The sequence below is a fragment of the Homo sapiens genome, chromosome 7, assembly GCF_000001405.40.
Source record: "Homo sapiens chromosome 7, GRCh38.p14 Primary Assembly".
Lineage (NCBI taxonomy): Eukaryota > Metazoa > Chordata > Mammalia > Primates > Hominidae > Homo > Homo sapiens.
Window position 1 is genome coordinate 156806849 of NC_000007.14, and position 15889 is coordinate 156822737.

A 15889-nucleotide genomic window follows, 5' to 3' on the forward strand; every position below is an offset into this window, starting at 1 on the left:
TGATCCACCCGCCTCAGCCTCCCAAAGTGCTGGGATTACAGGCGTGAGCCACTACGCCCAGCCTGATGCATTTTATTAGGATGAGAACATCCCATTTCAGGCCTACTTTGCTGAGAGATTTTACCAGAAATGGATACTGAATTTTGTCATATGCTTTTTCTGCATGTATTGTTACGACCATATGACTTTTTTTTTTCTAGCACGTTAATAAAATCACATGGATTGGCATTGCAAAAGTCATGATGTATTATCATTTTTATACAGTGTTACATTTGATTCGCTAAAATTGTATTTAGAACTTAAGCATCTATGTTCGTGACACTGGCCTGTCATGAAACTTTCAGTTTTCATGTATTGTCTGCCTGGTTTTGGTATGAGGGTAATGCTGACCTCAGTGAATTAGGAAATGTTCCCACATCTTCAATTTTCTAGAAGAATCTGTGCAGAACTGCTATTATTTCTTCCTTAACTATATGATAGAACTGACAGTAAATCCTCCTGGCCTAAAGCTTTATTTGTGAGAATGTTTCTAACATTCCCAGAATATTTGAGAAGGCTTTAATAGTTTTTGCCTGTTAAGGAAATTTGTCCATTTCTCTAAGTTGTTGAATTTGTTGGATAAAGGTGTTCATAATATGCAATTATTATCCTTTTAATCACTGTTCAATATGTAGTGATGTCACCTCTCTCATTCCTAATACTGGCAATTGGTCTCTTCTTTTTTGCTGATCATTCTGGCATTGTTTATCAATTTCAGTGTTCTTCTTGGTGATTTCCTGTTTTCTATTTCATTGATTTCCTCTCTCAAGATTTTTAAAGAAAGATTTCCCTTCTTTGGGATCTATTCGTTGACTCTGCAGAAACTGATTTGAGGCCTTTTTTCTGTTGTAATACAGGTATTTCGTGCTATACATTGACCTTTAAAAACTTTTTAGACACATCCCGCAAATATTAAAATGTTTTATTTTCATTTCATTCAGTTCAAAGCACTTTCAAATTTCCCTTTTGATTATTCTTTGACCAGTGAGTTATTGTAAAGTATGTTATCAATTACCAAATACTCAGGGATCTTCTAGATTGTTTCTAGGTAAGTTTTCTGACACTTATTTAATTTCATTGTCCTTACAGAGTGTATCTTGTATGACTTAAAATCCTAAAATGTATTGAGACTTATTTTATGGCAAAGAATGTGATCTCTCTTGGTAAATGCCCACATTGTACTGGAAAAGAATATGTATTCTATTCTTGGATGTTCTATAAATGTTAATTAGGTCAAGTCAGTTGATAGTATTATTCAAATCTTCTATATCGTGATTTTTTCTTCTATATGTTCTATCAATTATTGAAAGAAGGGTGTTGAAATATCTGAATGTAATTGTGATTCTGACTACACTTTCCGTTTTTGCTTCATGTACTTAATATATGTCATTAGGCAGATATATGCTAAGTATCATTAGGCTCTTTGGGTGAACAAACCACTTCAACATGATGAAATGATCTTCTTTATGACTGGTAATATTCTTTGCCCTTGTCTGATAATCATATAGCCACTCCAACTTTGCTCTGTTTAAAATTAGCATGGTGTATCTTTTTTCTCCTACTGCCATTGACCTAGTTTTGTCTTTACAGTGGGTATCCTGCAAGCAGATATACTTCAGTCTTGCTTTTATATTCAATTTGATAATCTCTGCCTTTTAGTTGTAGTGTTTAGAACATTACATTTAAAGTGATTATTGATATAGTTAGCTTTAAATCTATCAACTTGCTTTTTGTTTTCTATTTGCCCCATGTGTTAGCTTCCCTTCTTCTATGTTCCCACAGATTAAGTATTTTTTATGATTCTAGTTTATTTCCTTTGTTTACTTATTCACTATATCTCTGTTGGGCTATTTCTGGTTTGTCTTCAGGTTTATCATATACGCCTTTAACTCATCACAATCTGCCTTCAGATGATTTTATTGGCTGCTCTGCCAATGAAATAGCCATTCCTTTTATTCCTTTACTTTCTTAATAAACTTGCTGTCACTTAGAAAAAAAAAGATAACACTTCACGTAGAGCATGAGAACTTCACAACAGTGTGCTTCCGTGGCTTTCCTCCTGTGTGTTATCGTTGTCATATAACTTACTTGTACATCTATAATAAAATTCATAATACATTGTTACTACTTTTTAAACAGCCAATTATCTTTTCTAAACACAGGATTTTTAAAAAGCTTCTCTACATATAAACTGCTGCTTCTAGTGCTCTTCATTTCATTTTGTAGAGTTAGGAAATGAGTTAAGATATATTCCCTCGGGTTTGTTTAGCTCACGGTTCCTAGATATCTATCTCCTACCCACCTCCTACCACATGAAGGACAACCTGTAACATTTTTTAATGTACAGCTCTGCTGATGATGAATTTTTATCTTTTGTGTATCTGACACTATCACTATTTTGCCTTTGTTTTGAAAAATATTTTCACTGGGGATAAAACTAGACTGGCTGGGATTTTTCTTTTAGTACAATCCTCCCTCAGTGTCTGTAGGGGATTGGTTCCAAGACCTCCCATAGATACTAAAATCCACAGATGCTCAAGTCCCTTATGTAAAATGGCATGGTATTTGCATATAACCTATGCATATCCTCCTATATACTTTAAATCATCCATAGATTACTTACAATACCTAATACAGTGTAAATCTATGTAAATAATTATACTATATTGTTTAGGGAATAAGAAGAAAAAACTCTGTACATGCTCACTATAAACACAACCATCTTTTTTTCCAATATTTGTGATCCGTGGTTGGTTGAATCTACAGATCTAGAATCCACAGATCCAGAGGGCTGACTACACTGTTGCTACACTGTCACAACGTCATCTGGCTTGCATTGTTTCCCACCAGAAACATGCTGTGATTCTTATTATTGCTCCTCTGAACTTAACGTGTCTCTTTTTGTAGATGCATTTAAGATTTTCTCTTTATCACTGATTTTGAGCCATCAGATTACATGCGTTGGTACAGTTTTCCTCATGTTTCTTGTACATAGAACTGGTTAAGCTTCTAAAATCAGTGGGTTTATAGTTCTCATCAATTTTGAAATGTTTCTGCCATTAAGTTTCCAAATATTTTTCTCAACTCCCCTCCTTTAGAAACACCAACTACATCACTGATACCCTGTGTGTTAGCCCACTTTGCATTGCCATCAAGGAATACCTGAGGCTGGGTAATTTATTAAAAAAAAAAGAGAGAGATTTATTTGGCTCACAGTTCTACAGGCTGTACAAGAAGCTTGGTGCCAACAGCTGCTGTGAGGAGGGCCTCAAGCTGCTTCCATTCGTGGCGAAAGGCGAAGGGGAGCTGGCATATGCAGAGATCACAGGAGAAGACAGGAAGCAATGGAGAGGGGGTTGTGCCAGGCTCTTTTTAACAACCAGCTCTTATGAGAATAAAGAACTCACTCACCCACCTCCCGGGAGGGAATTCATCTATTCTTGGGGGATCTGCCCCACTGGCCCAAACACCTCCCACTAGATCCACCTCCAACACTAGGAATCAAATTTCTCTCTCTTTTTTTGAGATAGTGTCTCGCTCTGTCCTCCAGGCTGGAGTGCAGTGGCACAATTTCAGCTCACTGCAGCCTCTGCCTCCCAGGTTGAAGTGATTCTCCTGCCTCAGCCTCCCGAGTAGCTGGGATTACAGGCATGCACCACCACGCCTGGCTAATTTTTGTATTTTTAGTAAAAATGGTGTTTCATCATGTTGGCCAGGCTGGTCTCAAACTCCTGACCTCAAGTGATCCACCCACCCAGGCTTCCCAAAGTGCTGGGATTACAGGTGTGAGCCACCATGCCTGGCCCTGGGAGTCAAATTTCAACATGAGGTATGGGGGAATAAACATCCAAACTACAGCACTATTGTCACTTTTCAGCCATTTTTCCCTCTGTGTTTCACTTTCACATAGTTTTTTGATTTTTTTGTTTTTTGTTTTTTTACATGGAGTGTTGCTCTGTCACCCAGGCTGGAGTACAGTGGCGCAATCTTGGCTCACTACAACCTCCACCTCTCCCGGGTTCAAGCGATTCTCCTCCCTCAGCCTCCCAAGTAGCTGAGTCTACAGGCATGCACCACCATGCCTGGCTAATTTTTGTATTTTTAGTAGAGACGAGGTTTCACCAAGTTGGCCAGGCTGGTCTTGAACTCCCGACCTCAGGTGATCCACCCACCTCAGCCTCCCAAAGTGCCAGGATTACAGGCATGAGCCACAGCGCCCAGCCCCACTTTTGAATAGTTTTCTATTGCTATGTCCTCAAATTCATTAATCTCTTCTGCAATGTCTAATCTGCTATTAATCTACTGTTTTATATACTTTCACATCACATGCTATAGTTTTCATCTCTAGAATTTTGTTTTTTTACATCTTTTACATCTCAGTATGTTCAACATTTCCTCTAAGTTTCTGGAACATATGGAATAGTTATAAGAATTGTTTTCCTGGCCAGGCGCGGTGGCTCACGCCTGTAATCCCAGCACTTTGGGAGGCCGAGGCAGGTGGATCACGAGGTCAAGAGATCAAAACCATCCTGGCCAACATGGTGAAACCCCGTCTCTACTAAAAATACAAAAATTAGCTGGGCATGGTGGCACACGCCTGTAGTCCAGCTACTCGGGAGGCTGAGGCAGAAGAATCACCTAAACCCGGGAGGCGGAGGTTGCAGTGAGCCAAGATTGCACCACTGCACTCCAGCCTGGGCGACAGAGTCAGACTCCGTCTCAAAAAAAAAAAAGAATTGTTTTCATGTATTTGTCTACTAATTCTGACATCTCAGTTGCAGACTCAAGGTAGGCATAGTGGACAAGGTCCCCATGCCTGAATCCCCAGCCTTCTGTGAGTATGTTGCATGGTGTACTGGTTTTCTGGAACTGAGGAAACAAAGCACCACAAACCGAATGGCTTCAAGCAACAGAAATCTACTCTCTTACAGTTCCAGGGACTAGAAGTCTGAAATCAAGGTGTCAGCAGGACCACGCTCCTTCCAAAGTCTCCAGGGAAGAATCCTTCCTACTATCTGTGGGTGGCTGCCTGCAATCTTTGGCATTCCTGGGCTTGCTGATGCCCTTATTCCATGCTTGGCCTCTGTCTTCACACAGCTTTCTTCCCTGTGTGTCTGTGTCTCTGCTTTATGTTTTTAGGGGGATACCAGTCTTTGGATTTGGGTCTTCGCTAATCTAAGATGACTTCATCTTCACTAATTATGTCTACAAAGACTGTTATTTCCAAATAAGTTCACATCCTGATGTTCTGAGTGAACCTGAATTTTGGGGGAACACGATACTACTCACCTCAGTACATATGGCAAAAAGGACTTGGCAGGTGTAATTAAGGTTATGGACCTTCAAATAGGAAGACAGCAAGACCATTTTGGATTATCCAGGTGGCCATAATCTAATTACATGAGCCTTTCATGTGATTTTTAAACACACAGAGAGAGAGAGAGAGAGACAGCAAGAGGGAGAGAGGGAGAGAAAACACAAGAGCGCAGAGGACTTTCTCCAGCTGCAGTCAGAAAGATGCAGCAGAAGGGAAGTCAGAGAAAAACTTGACCCACCTTTGTTAGAGGGTATCACATGGAAGAGAAAAGAGGCAAGCAACCTCTAGAAACAAAGGCTAGCACCTGGCTGAGAGGTAGGAAGGAAATGAGGGCCTCAGTCCTAAAACTACAAAGAACCAAATTCAGCCAACAGTCTGAAACCAAATTCTTCCCCGGGGCCTCCAATGAGGAAGGCAACACTGTGAACATCTTGATTTCAGCCTGTAAGACTCTACACAGAGGGCCTTCATTTGCCAAAAACAGAACACCAGTTTAGTAAGGTTTTACTACGGAAAACGTTCGAACTGAGAAAATGATATCCCATTAATTCTACCCATCAGTGTAAAACAAAATGATTCTCTGTGCAGCAATCTCCTTTCCAGTACTCTGCCTGGTACACTCTAGCCCCCTTGGTCTCTCAAAACTCCTGGGTTCTCAACCCAGAACACTGCTCAGCTCCACCTGGGTTCCCCCTCTCTGTACTGCAGTGTGGAAATTCTCTCAAGGCAGCACCTTGTTTGCCCCCATCTCTGGGGATTATTGTCCTTCTTTGCCTATAGTTTCTCAAAAACCTAGTCATTTCAGGTGGGAGGGTATATATCCAGTCCACCTTACTCCACCTTAGCCAGACTATTTAGCTTTTAAAGTGTTTCTCTACCAACACTTGAATATTGGCTTTTTGTTGTTTGTAGATACAGGGTCTCGTTTTGTTGCTCAGGCTGGTCTTGATCTGGCTTCAAGCAATCCTCCCACCTCGGCCTCCCAAAATGTTGGGATTACAGGCTCACCACACCTGGCCTAATTTTTCATACTCCACGTCTGAGCCTTAGTCCTCAATAATACAGAAAAAGCTCTGGGCATAAAACATCAGCAAAGAGTGCTTGTTCTTCACTACCTATCTATCCTAATGGATTTGCTGATCATAGAAAAAATGTTTTAAAACTGTAGTTACCTACTCTATTTCAAGTTGGCCTCCCCAAATACTTATTGATATCCTTGCCCCTTGTTTAATTCTCTCAACATACAACTCAACAACAAAACAAAGTCTGTTTATTACTAAAAGAGTAAGCCTCAACTCCTATGTCTTAGTTTTCTCTTACTAGATGGAATACTGCTCCCTATTGTGAAATATACGTTCTCTTCATTCTCTTGCCCCAAATTCCTAAAACCTAACTATTCCAGTATACATTTCTACAGTGGGCCTCCAAGATGCTTCACAGATATCATCAAGCTTATTCTTTTTCTCCTTTTCCCACATTCTTTCTATTATGTTCTTTGATACACTCAGAAAATAAAGTCTACTCAAATGATGTTGTATTAGAAAATTTTAAAATAATAATGAAATAATTGCAAAGCCTCACTTTGGTTAAGTTCCTTTACACTGTTCAATACCTGCTACTTTGAATCCACATTCAGAAAAAACACCATCTCTTGAAGAAAAAAAGTCCTAGTTTTTTTTTATCTTTTCCAGACAAAGAATTGTTTTAGACTGAAATAACCTCTTTCCTCTAACGAACTAAAATACATATTTATTTCAATACTTAAGCAGAACAGATACAATTGTAAGAATCTAAAATTAAAATCTGTTCAAAATAAATAAAACCTTGCTCTTATTTTAGTGCACCAAGAATAAGATACAGAGCAGAAGAGAACCTAAGATCCCCTTAGCCAACGCACCCATAAACTGAACTTTTTCTTAAAAGAGACTCAATAAATTCCTCACAAATTCCACAACTTACAAATGGTAGCCCTGGGATTAAATCCCAGATCTCTTTTTCTTTCTACATATGACTGAATAATGTCTCATACTTAACATTCTGGGTGAAAAAGGAACAATGTTTTGAGTTTTCTTAATATTATCTGCCAAAAAGAATATATTAGTTTAGTAAGATTTTACTAAGGGAAATAATGAATATGATATTCCATTAATTCTATCAACATAAAACAAAATGCTTAACTGAGCCTGCAATCAGTTTTGTAAAATGGAACAAAACATGTCTGCATTTGTTTTCTCAGTTGTTTACATGTAGGTGTGTACATGTACAAGCAAGGCTTCTTAAAACACCAGGACATCTTTCAACTACAGAAAGGTTTTTAAAAATCTAATTTCAGTAAAATATTGAATATATTAGATCTATTTAGTGTACTATAATGTACTCTAACAAAATCAAGGTATTCACACAATTTGTGATTTTTAAAACCTCACCAGTTCTCAATGGCAGATAGCTAAGTGCGTAGCACTTTACGTCTAACAGCCTGGATTTGCACCTATCACAAATACGTGACCTTGAAGAGGGACTGCAACTCTGTCACCCAGTTTCCTCAGGTATGCAATAGGCTATAATTCACAGGGCTCTTATGAAGAACAGAAGATAAATTAACACCCAATATGTTAAACAAATGTCAGTGCCTCTTCCCTGCCCTGTCTCAACATCATAAAAATGGTACAAGGCCAAGCGCGGTGGTTCACACCTGTAATCCCATCACTTTAGGAGGCCAAGGCAGGCAGATTACCTGAGGTTGAGAGCTCGAGACCACCCTGACCAATATGGAAAAACCCCATCTCTATTAAAAATACAAAATTAGCCAGGCATGGTGGCACACGCCTATAATCCCAGCTATTCGGGAGGCTGAGGCAGGAGAATCGCTTGAACCTGGGAAGAAGAGGTTGTGGTGAGCCAAGATCATGCCATTGCACTCCAGCCTAGGCAACAAGAGTGAAACTCCGTCTCAAAAAAAAAAAAAAAAAAAGTACAAAAAAACTGAAAAGTTCTGACATACACCAGCATTTAGACCATATAACAACAACAAAATGATGCAGGTTGTAACTACAGTTAGCTCTCAACCCTTTCCTTAAAGAATTATTCTCATTAATTTCACTAAAAAAAAAAATTTAACCAGCAAAACCTATATACATAGGTGTTATTGAAAATATTTTAAAATGACAATGACAAAAACCAGGCATAGAAAATCAACTGCAAATAAATACCCCAACTAATTAACAATATCAATGTAGCACAACTGTGCGTGATTTTTTTGTCTGGATATTCTAAGTTTTCTGTAAGAAGCATATAAAGTCCTCTAAAATTCACAAAGCATATATTTAAACATCTTTGTGAAACTCAAAATTCCCCACATCCCTGTATCATACAGTTTCCCCCATAAAATGAATTAAAAGGGCAGAAAATAATAAAGCTAAACTGAGATGGGGATGCTGAGCTAGGCTCACTCATTAGCCACGTGGCTCACTTTACTTACTAGTTTCTCTGAGTGCACAGTTTAGATTTTAGCCTCAGCAAAATTACAAATTACCACGTGTTGGGGAGCCTCAAATATTGCTCTCAAATTGTTGTAACCATGAATATAAATCCTCGAATACTAAGGGTCCACTATGCTTTTATATTCAGAAGAAAAAAAGTTTAAAATCTATTTCTAACTTTTAACATCCAGAGAAGAATTTGAATTTTACTGTATAAAAGGGACATGTATGATTAAAAAGATAAATTCTGGAGCATAAAAGAAGGCTCTTTCTATTGTTATTGATCCATAAACATACATGCTTCCAGAATTTATCTTTCTAATCATACATGTCCCTTTTATACAGTAAAATTCAAATTCTTCTCTAGATGTCAAAGTTAAAAAAATAAAACTTTGCCTTAGGCAATGCTCACAAATCACTAAAAAGTATCTCTTCTGACTAACCAATACACTTACTTTTATTAAAACAAAGATAGTTTATCAAAAGCTAAATGAAAAAAATATTTTTTTTTCTTTCTTCCTTTTTTCTTTTCTCTTTTTGGAGACAGAGTCTCACTCTGCTGCCCAGGCTGGAGTGCAGTGGTGCAATCTTGGCTCACTGCAGCCTCCACCTCTCAGGTTCAAGTGATTCTTGTGCCTCAGCCTCCCGAGCATCTGGGATTATAGACACGCACCATCACACCAGGCTAACGTTTGTATTTTTAGTAGTGATGGGAGACGGGGTGAAGAAATCTTTATCAGTAGATCAAACAAGGAGTAATGTCTGTTGGACAACTGAAGAAAACGATTCAGTACCCTGAATCAAGAAGGGTTCCAAATACCAGTTAATTTAGTTTGTCAAGAAATTAGATGCCTGTTTCATGTACTGATCAACCAGCTTTTTTCAACCTAGGTAATTAAATGCAAAATAATAAGTTTATTAGCCAGAATAAATAAATGTGAAAATTTCAGACTCAACTTACGCTAATCTAATACAATTTGCAATATATAAGAAAGTAAAAATACTATGAGAAGAACATCTAATACATAGACATAATAATGTATCTAAGATATATTGCTAAGTAGTAATTACATTCTTGGCAATTTTGCAAAGCTTAGTAAATTTCTAACATTTTATAAATATACATCAACATACACACATACATATTCCTTAATAATATTCTATAATTTTGATAAATCATTCTTAAAAATTACTGTTAGGGCCAACACATATATTTCATTATACATTATTTCATATTAATTTGTAAAATAAATATTAATCAAATCGCTCTGCTTTAGAAAGGTAAAATTACATATTTCCATATAGTAGTCAAACCCTAAAAAATTCAGCAACACTATAACAGAAACCTATTTGAAAGATATCCAATGCCCATCCCCAGAAAAGGTATTTGAATTTAAAGTTATTTAACTGTGGTTTAAAATAAAACAAAACAAGACTGAATTTCCAGATCACCATAGGATGCATTAACTTCTAGCTCCATCTGCTGGAGTTACAAAATATTTCAAACTACAATATACAATACTATAGAGGAAATAATTTATCATTTTTCCTCACATAGACAAAAGCCTTCATGAATTTAAATTAAAAAATTAATCAGAGTTCAGCCATACTCAATAATTTCCAAAATGACAAAAGTTCAATATTTCAGTAGAATTAAAGATCTAATCCAATTATCAAAAAGCAATTTACACAATTTTTAAAAATTCTACCAACAAAGCATAAGGCTTAGAAAAGAGATTACAGTCTGTTTTCAAGTAGTGTGAGGACTTCAGAATTATTAGCCACTGTTGATTTGGGGTAAAAAGAGACAGAGAGAGAGAGAGAGAGAGAGACAGAGACAGACAGAGAGACAGAGACAGACAGAGAGAGAACTTCAGAATTAGAATAGCCTCTGCTTATTTACTTAGAAGAAAAATAAATAACAACTACCAATGAAATGTGGGACTTTTTATCTTCACATAACTTTTTTCTTAAAAAACAAATAATATGTCCATTGTATAAATGCAAACACCAAATGCAATGTAAATACCAAAAAAAAATGCATATCATAAAATCCTACAAAAAGTTAAACTCTTTGTATTTACCCTTCCAGGTATTTTTTGATGCAGCTACCTACACATGTACTCTTTTTTCTTTTTACAAAATAGGCATTGGATCGTAAATATGGGCTTTTTTCTGGTATCTCTGTATATCAACAAATACCTACATTATCATCTATAATGTCCAGAAAAGCACTCCACTGTTTGGATCGACAAGATATGATTAATTTCCTATCCCAAACACTAGGATTTTTCTATTTGTAATGTTATAAACAATACCTCAATATCCAGTAACTATCTTGATACACATTATGATAAATGACTGAACTACTGAGCCCAAATGACTAGGAACATTTAGTGAACAACAGTACATTAAAATTTATTAGGGACTTACTTTTGACTTAGCATCTATTCATAAGTAAATATAATATTTTCTTAAGTTTGACTGCTTATACTCTAAAAGTCTGGTTTTTTGGATCTTCTATGGAACTTAAAAATGAATTTTAAAAGGATGGATTTTGCATTGTTCCTTCATGATGTCCAAACAGTGTATCGCCTATTCCTGATGACAAATCAAAATAAAGCACACAGTCCTTGCAGTGACTTGTCGGATTCATTGTGGTTATATTTTAACAGACAATCTCAAACTGGGCATTCATGTCACAAATGTTTGTTTTGTCTCTATCTCTGGTCATAAGTGAGTGGACAGCTTAGCCAAAATTGGGCCCCACTGGGGAAAAATCACTCAAAAACTGAAGAATTATTTCCTGGTTTTATTTAAGGGTACAATCTAACTCCATCATTTTCCTATCTTCCAAATTTTTATTGTTATTTAGCTCTTATTTTGATATTAAACTCACATTACTTAAAATTAGCGATTTTAAAGTGAACAATTCAGTGGCATTTGCACTGAACTGTTCATTTGCAATGGTGTGCAACCACCACCTTTACCTAACTCCGAAACATTTTTATCACCCCCAAAAGGAAAACCCACAAAGCAGCTGTATCATTGTTTTTCAACTTATGGAAATGAAGAGTTTCATATTTTCCTATTAATTTTTTAACAGTACACAAGATATAGAAAATGTATAGAAGTGGATACTTTATTTTTTCGGTCCATTTTTTAACCCTTTTTCCTATTTTAACAACAAAAAGAACTTACACTACCATTTTAATTTGTCATCTCTGCCCTATCCTACAACAAACTACAGTTGCTGGCATGTCATGGACCCACACTGTGTGAATGACAGAACACATCTCACAGCATCAAGCTGACAAGTGATGACAACCACCAGCCAAAACCCAGAGGCCAGAGGATCATCATCAGGTCTCCTAACTCCAATGCTCCAATGTCATTTTTCTGTATCACATTTTTCAAGCTATTTTCTCACTGCAGACAGAGATACATCTTGCTTACATGACACAGTTTACTAAGGTTATTATTTTATTTGTGTTACAAAATTCTTGCCCAGAAAAGTAAAGTAGCATTCCAAGGTAATATGGTTAACACATAACATCTCAAACCTGTATCCAAAATCCAAACACTATATTTAAGCCAAACTAAATATATTTGCACATACAAAAAAAAGCATTATCAACACATTTAGCCTCTAATCCATATGTGATTTACACATTAAAGGCACAATCAAAAACATCCATACTGACAATTTTATAAAATAAGCCATTAAATTTCCTTTCAAATTCACTTTTGCCAAAATATTCCTAATGATATAATTATAATGACTTTTATTCCTTCAATCAATCAATATTTATTGAACACTTTCAACATGAAAGTACTAGAACAGATGCTCCATGGGAGATTAAAGGAATCTGAACATTTTCTGAGTACTCACAGAATCCCATAAATGTCACAAAACTGTAAATGACAGATTGACAAATGAATATTAGTGATATAACTGTGCTCTGGGGAAAAGGAAATAACCAGACCGTTCGTGAACTTCTGGACACTGGCTCTGAACTGACACTGATCCTAGGAGACCTTCCCTGTGGCTCTCCAGTCAGAGTAGGGGCTTATGGAGGTCAGGTAATCAGTGGAATTTTAGCAGAGGCCCAACTCAGAGCGGGTCCCTGAACCCATCCTGTGGTTGTCTCCTCTCTTCCAGAAGGCAATTAATGGAATGGAATGGCTAGCAGAATCCCCATACTGATTTCCTGACCTGTGGAGTGAGGGCTATTATGGTGGGAAAGACCAAGTGGAAGCTACTAGAACTGCATCTACCTGGGAAAACAGTAAACCAAAACCAATACTGCATTCTTAGAGGGATTTCAGAGATTACTGCCACCGTCGAGGACTTGAAAGATGCAGGGGTGGGGATTCCCACTACACCCCCATTCGATTCTTATCTGGTCTGTGCAGAAGACAGACAGAGCTTCCAGAATAACAGAAGATTATCGTTAAGCTTAACTAGGTGGTGAGTCCAATTACAGCTGCTGTACCAGATGTGGCTTCATTGCCTGAACAAATTAACATGCCACCTATCTGGTATGCAGCTACTGATCTGGCAAATGCTTTTCTCTCTGTCCCTGTTAGTAAAGACCACTAGAAGCAGTTTGCTTTCAGCTGACAAGGCCAGCAATACGCCTTCACTGCCCTACGTCAAGGGTATATAAATTCTGTAGCCCTGTATTATAATTTAGTTCACAGAAATCTTGATCACCTTTCCCTTCCATAGGATATTAATATCACACTGGCCCATTATGTTGACGATATTTTGCTGATTGTAACTAGTGAGTGAGAAGTTAACAACCACTCTAAACTTATTGGTAAGACATTTGTGTGTCAAAAAGTGGGAAATAAATCTGACAAAAATTTAGGGGCCTTCTATCTCAGTGAAATTTCTAGGGGTCCAGTGTTGTAGGGTATATGGAGATATCCTTTCTAAGGTGAAGGATAAATTGTTGAATCTGGCGCCTCCTGCATCAAAAAAGAGGCATAACATCTAGCAGGCCTCTCTGGACTTCGAAGACAACACATTTCTCATTTGCGTGTGTTGCTCCAGCTGGTTTACTGAGCGGCCTGAAAAGCTGCTGGTTTTGAGTACAGCCCAGAAGGAGGGAAGGCTCTGCGGCAGCTCCAGGCTCTGTGCAGGCTGCTCTGCCTCCTGGGCCACATGACCCAGCAGATCCAAGGGTGTCTGAAAGGGCAGAGGCAGAGACGCATGCTGTGTGGAGCCTTTGGCAGGTTCCTCTCAAGGTGAACTGCAGCACAGGCCCTTAGGATGTTGGGGCAACGCCCTGCCATCCTTGTGGGTAACAACTGCCTTTGAGAAACAGCTCTTGACCCACTATGGGGCTTTAGTAGGGATTGAATGCTGAAACATGGACCACCAAGTTACCATGGGACCTGAGTTGCCCATCATGAACTGAATGTTTTCCGACCCACCAAGCCAGAAAGTTGGGTGTGCACAGCAGCATTCCATCATCAAATGGAAGTGGTACATGTCTGGGCCTAAGTAGGCCCTAAAGGCACAAGTTACATAAAGAAGTGCCGCCAATGCCGACGGTCCCCACTCCCGCTACGCTGCCTTCTCTCTCCCAGCCTGCACCTACAGTCTCCTGGAGAGTTCCCTAAAATCAGCTGACGGAGGAAGACCTGGGCCTGGTTTACAGATGGTTCTGCATGATATGCAGGCCCCCACGTTAGTGGACAACTGCAGCACTACTGCCCCTTTCTGGAACATCCCTAAAAGGACAGCGGTGAAGGGAAACTCTCCGATGGGCAGATCTATGGGCTGTACATCTGGTGGTTTGCTTTGCTTGGAAAGAGAAATAGCCAAATGTGTGATTATTACATATTAATGGACCATGGCCAATGGTTTGGCCAGATGCTCAGAGTCTTGAAGAAACACAATTGGAAAACTGGAAATAAGAAAATTGGGATGAGGTACATGAACAGACCTCTTTGAATGGGAAAAAAATGTGAAAGTATTTGTGTCCCATGTGAATGCTCACCAAAGGGTGACCTCAGCAGAGGAAGATTTTAATAATTAAGTGGATAGGCTGACTGGCTCTGTGGATACTAGTCAGCCTCCTTCCCCAGCCACCCCTGTCATTGCCCAATGGGCTCAGGAACAAAGTCACCATGATGGTAGGGACGGAGATCATACATGGACCCAGCACCTTCTACTCACCAAGGCTGGCCTGGCTACAGCCACTGCTAAGGACCCAATCTGCTAACTGTGACTTTTGTTTTCCAAATCTCCCCACCAAATATTTATTTATTTAAACACACACGAACATGTTTATACACATACATTTCCCTAACACAGACAAAACAATTAAAAGACAAATTTCCATAGCATTGTAATGTCCCATATTGCACAAAATACATGCCTTTGCTTACGAAAACCTTCATAAAATGTATGAACTTTTTAAAACCTAGTAGGAGCAAAGTATTACAAAACTACAGTCTTTAAAACAATATGGCACTGGCATAGGAATAGACAGACAAACCAGAGGGAAAAAACAGAAAGTAAAACTCAGCATTTATTTCCTGCTTACTCTTGGCCACCAGGCAATAGACTAGGTACTTTATACTATACATATATTCCACTTACTACATATAATAATTCTATAAACTAGACCTTGATATGGTCATTTTATAGATAAAAGACTGAGACTCTGAAAGCGTAAACAATATGCTCAAGGTTGCTAAGGGTTTCAGACAGATTTGAAATTCAAGCCCAGGTCTATCTGACTCCAAAACCTGCATACCTGAGCCCAGAAACAAACGCTAATATAATATTTAGCTTACTGAAAATGAAGCATAAAAAATCAGTACAGAAAAGAATATTCAATTAATGGTATTGGGACAACTAGCTGTCATATCTCAGGGTGGGAAACAATCTTCTAAACACAAAAACAATTAGAGACACCAAGAGAAAAAGAAAAACCAAATATTATAAAAAATATTCAAATTCTGGAAAAAAGCAATTAATATTAAAAAGCAAAATAACAATCAGAAAAACATGTAAAAAATTGAAATGAAAAGCTGA

At 37.9% G+C, this 15889-nt stretch overlaps 1 protein-coding gene across 28 annotated transcripts in view, besides 1 other annotated feature; it reads right to left on the bottom strand.

The window, feature by feature from the left end:
• The window catches only part of LMBR1 (limb development membrane protein 1), a 224172-nt gene that overhangs the window by 137837 nt on the left and 70446 nt on the right, over nt 1-15889 (bottom strand). The gene's annotated exons all lie outside the window — the stretch shown is intronic.
• Nucleotides 13840-14340: an enhancer, noted in NCBI's record as "H3K27ac hESC enhancer chr7:156613382-156613882 (GRCh37/hg19 assembly coordinates)". NCBI's record gives its function as "activates a minimal SCP1, AML or CMV promoter by ChIP-STARR-seq in primed H9 embryonic stem cells {active_cell/tissue: H9 hESC(primed)}" and the evidence as "EXISTENCE:reporter gene assay evidence [ECO:0000049][PMID:30033119]".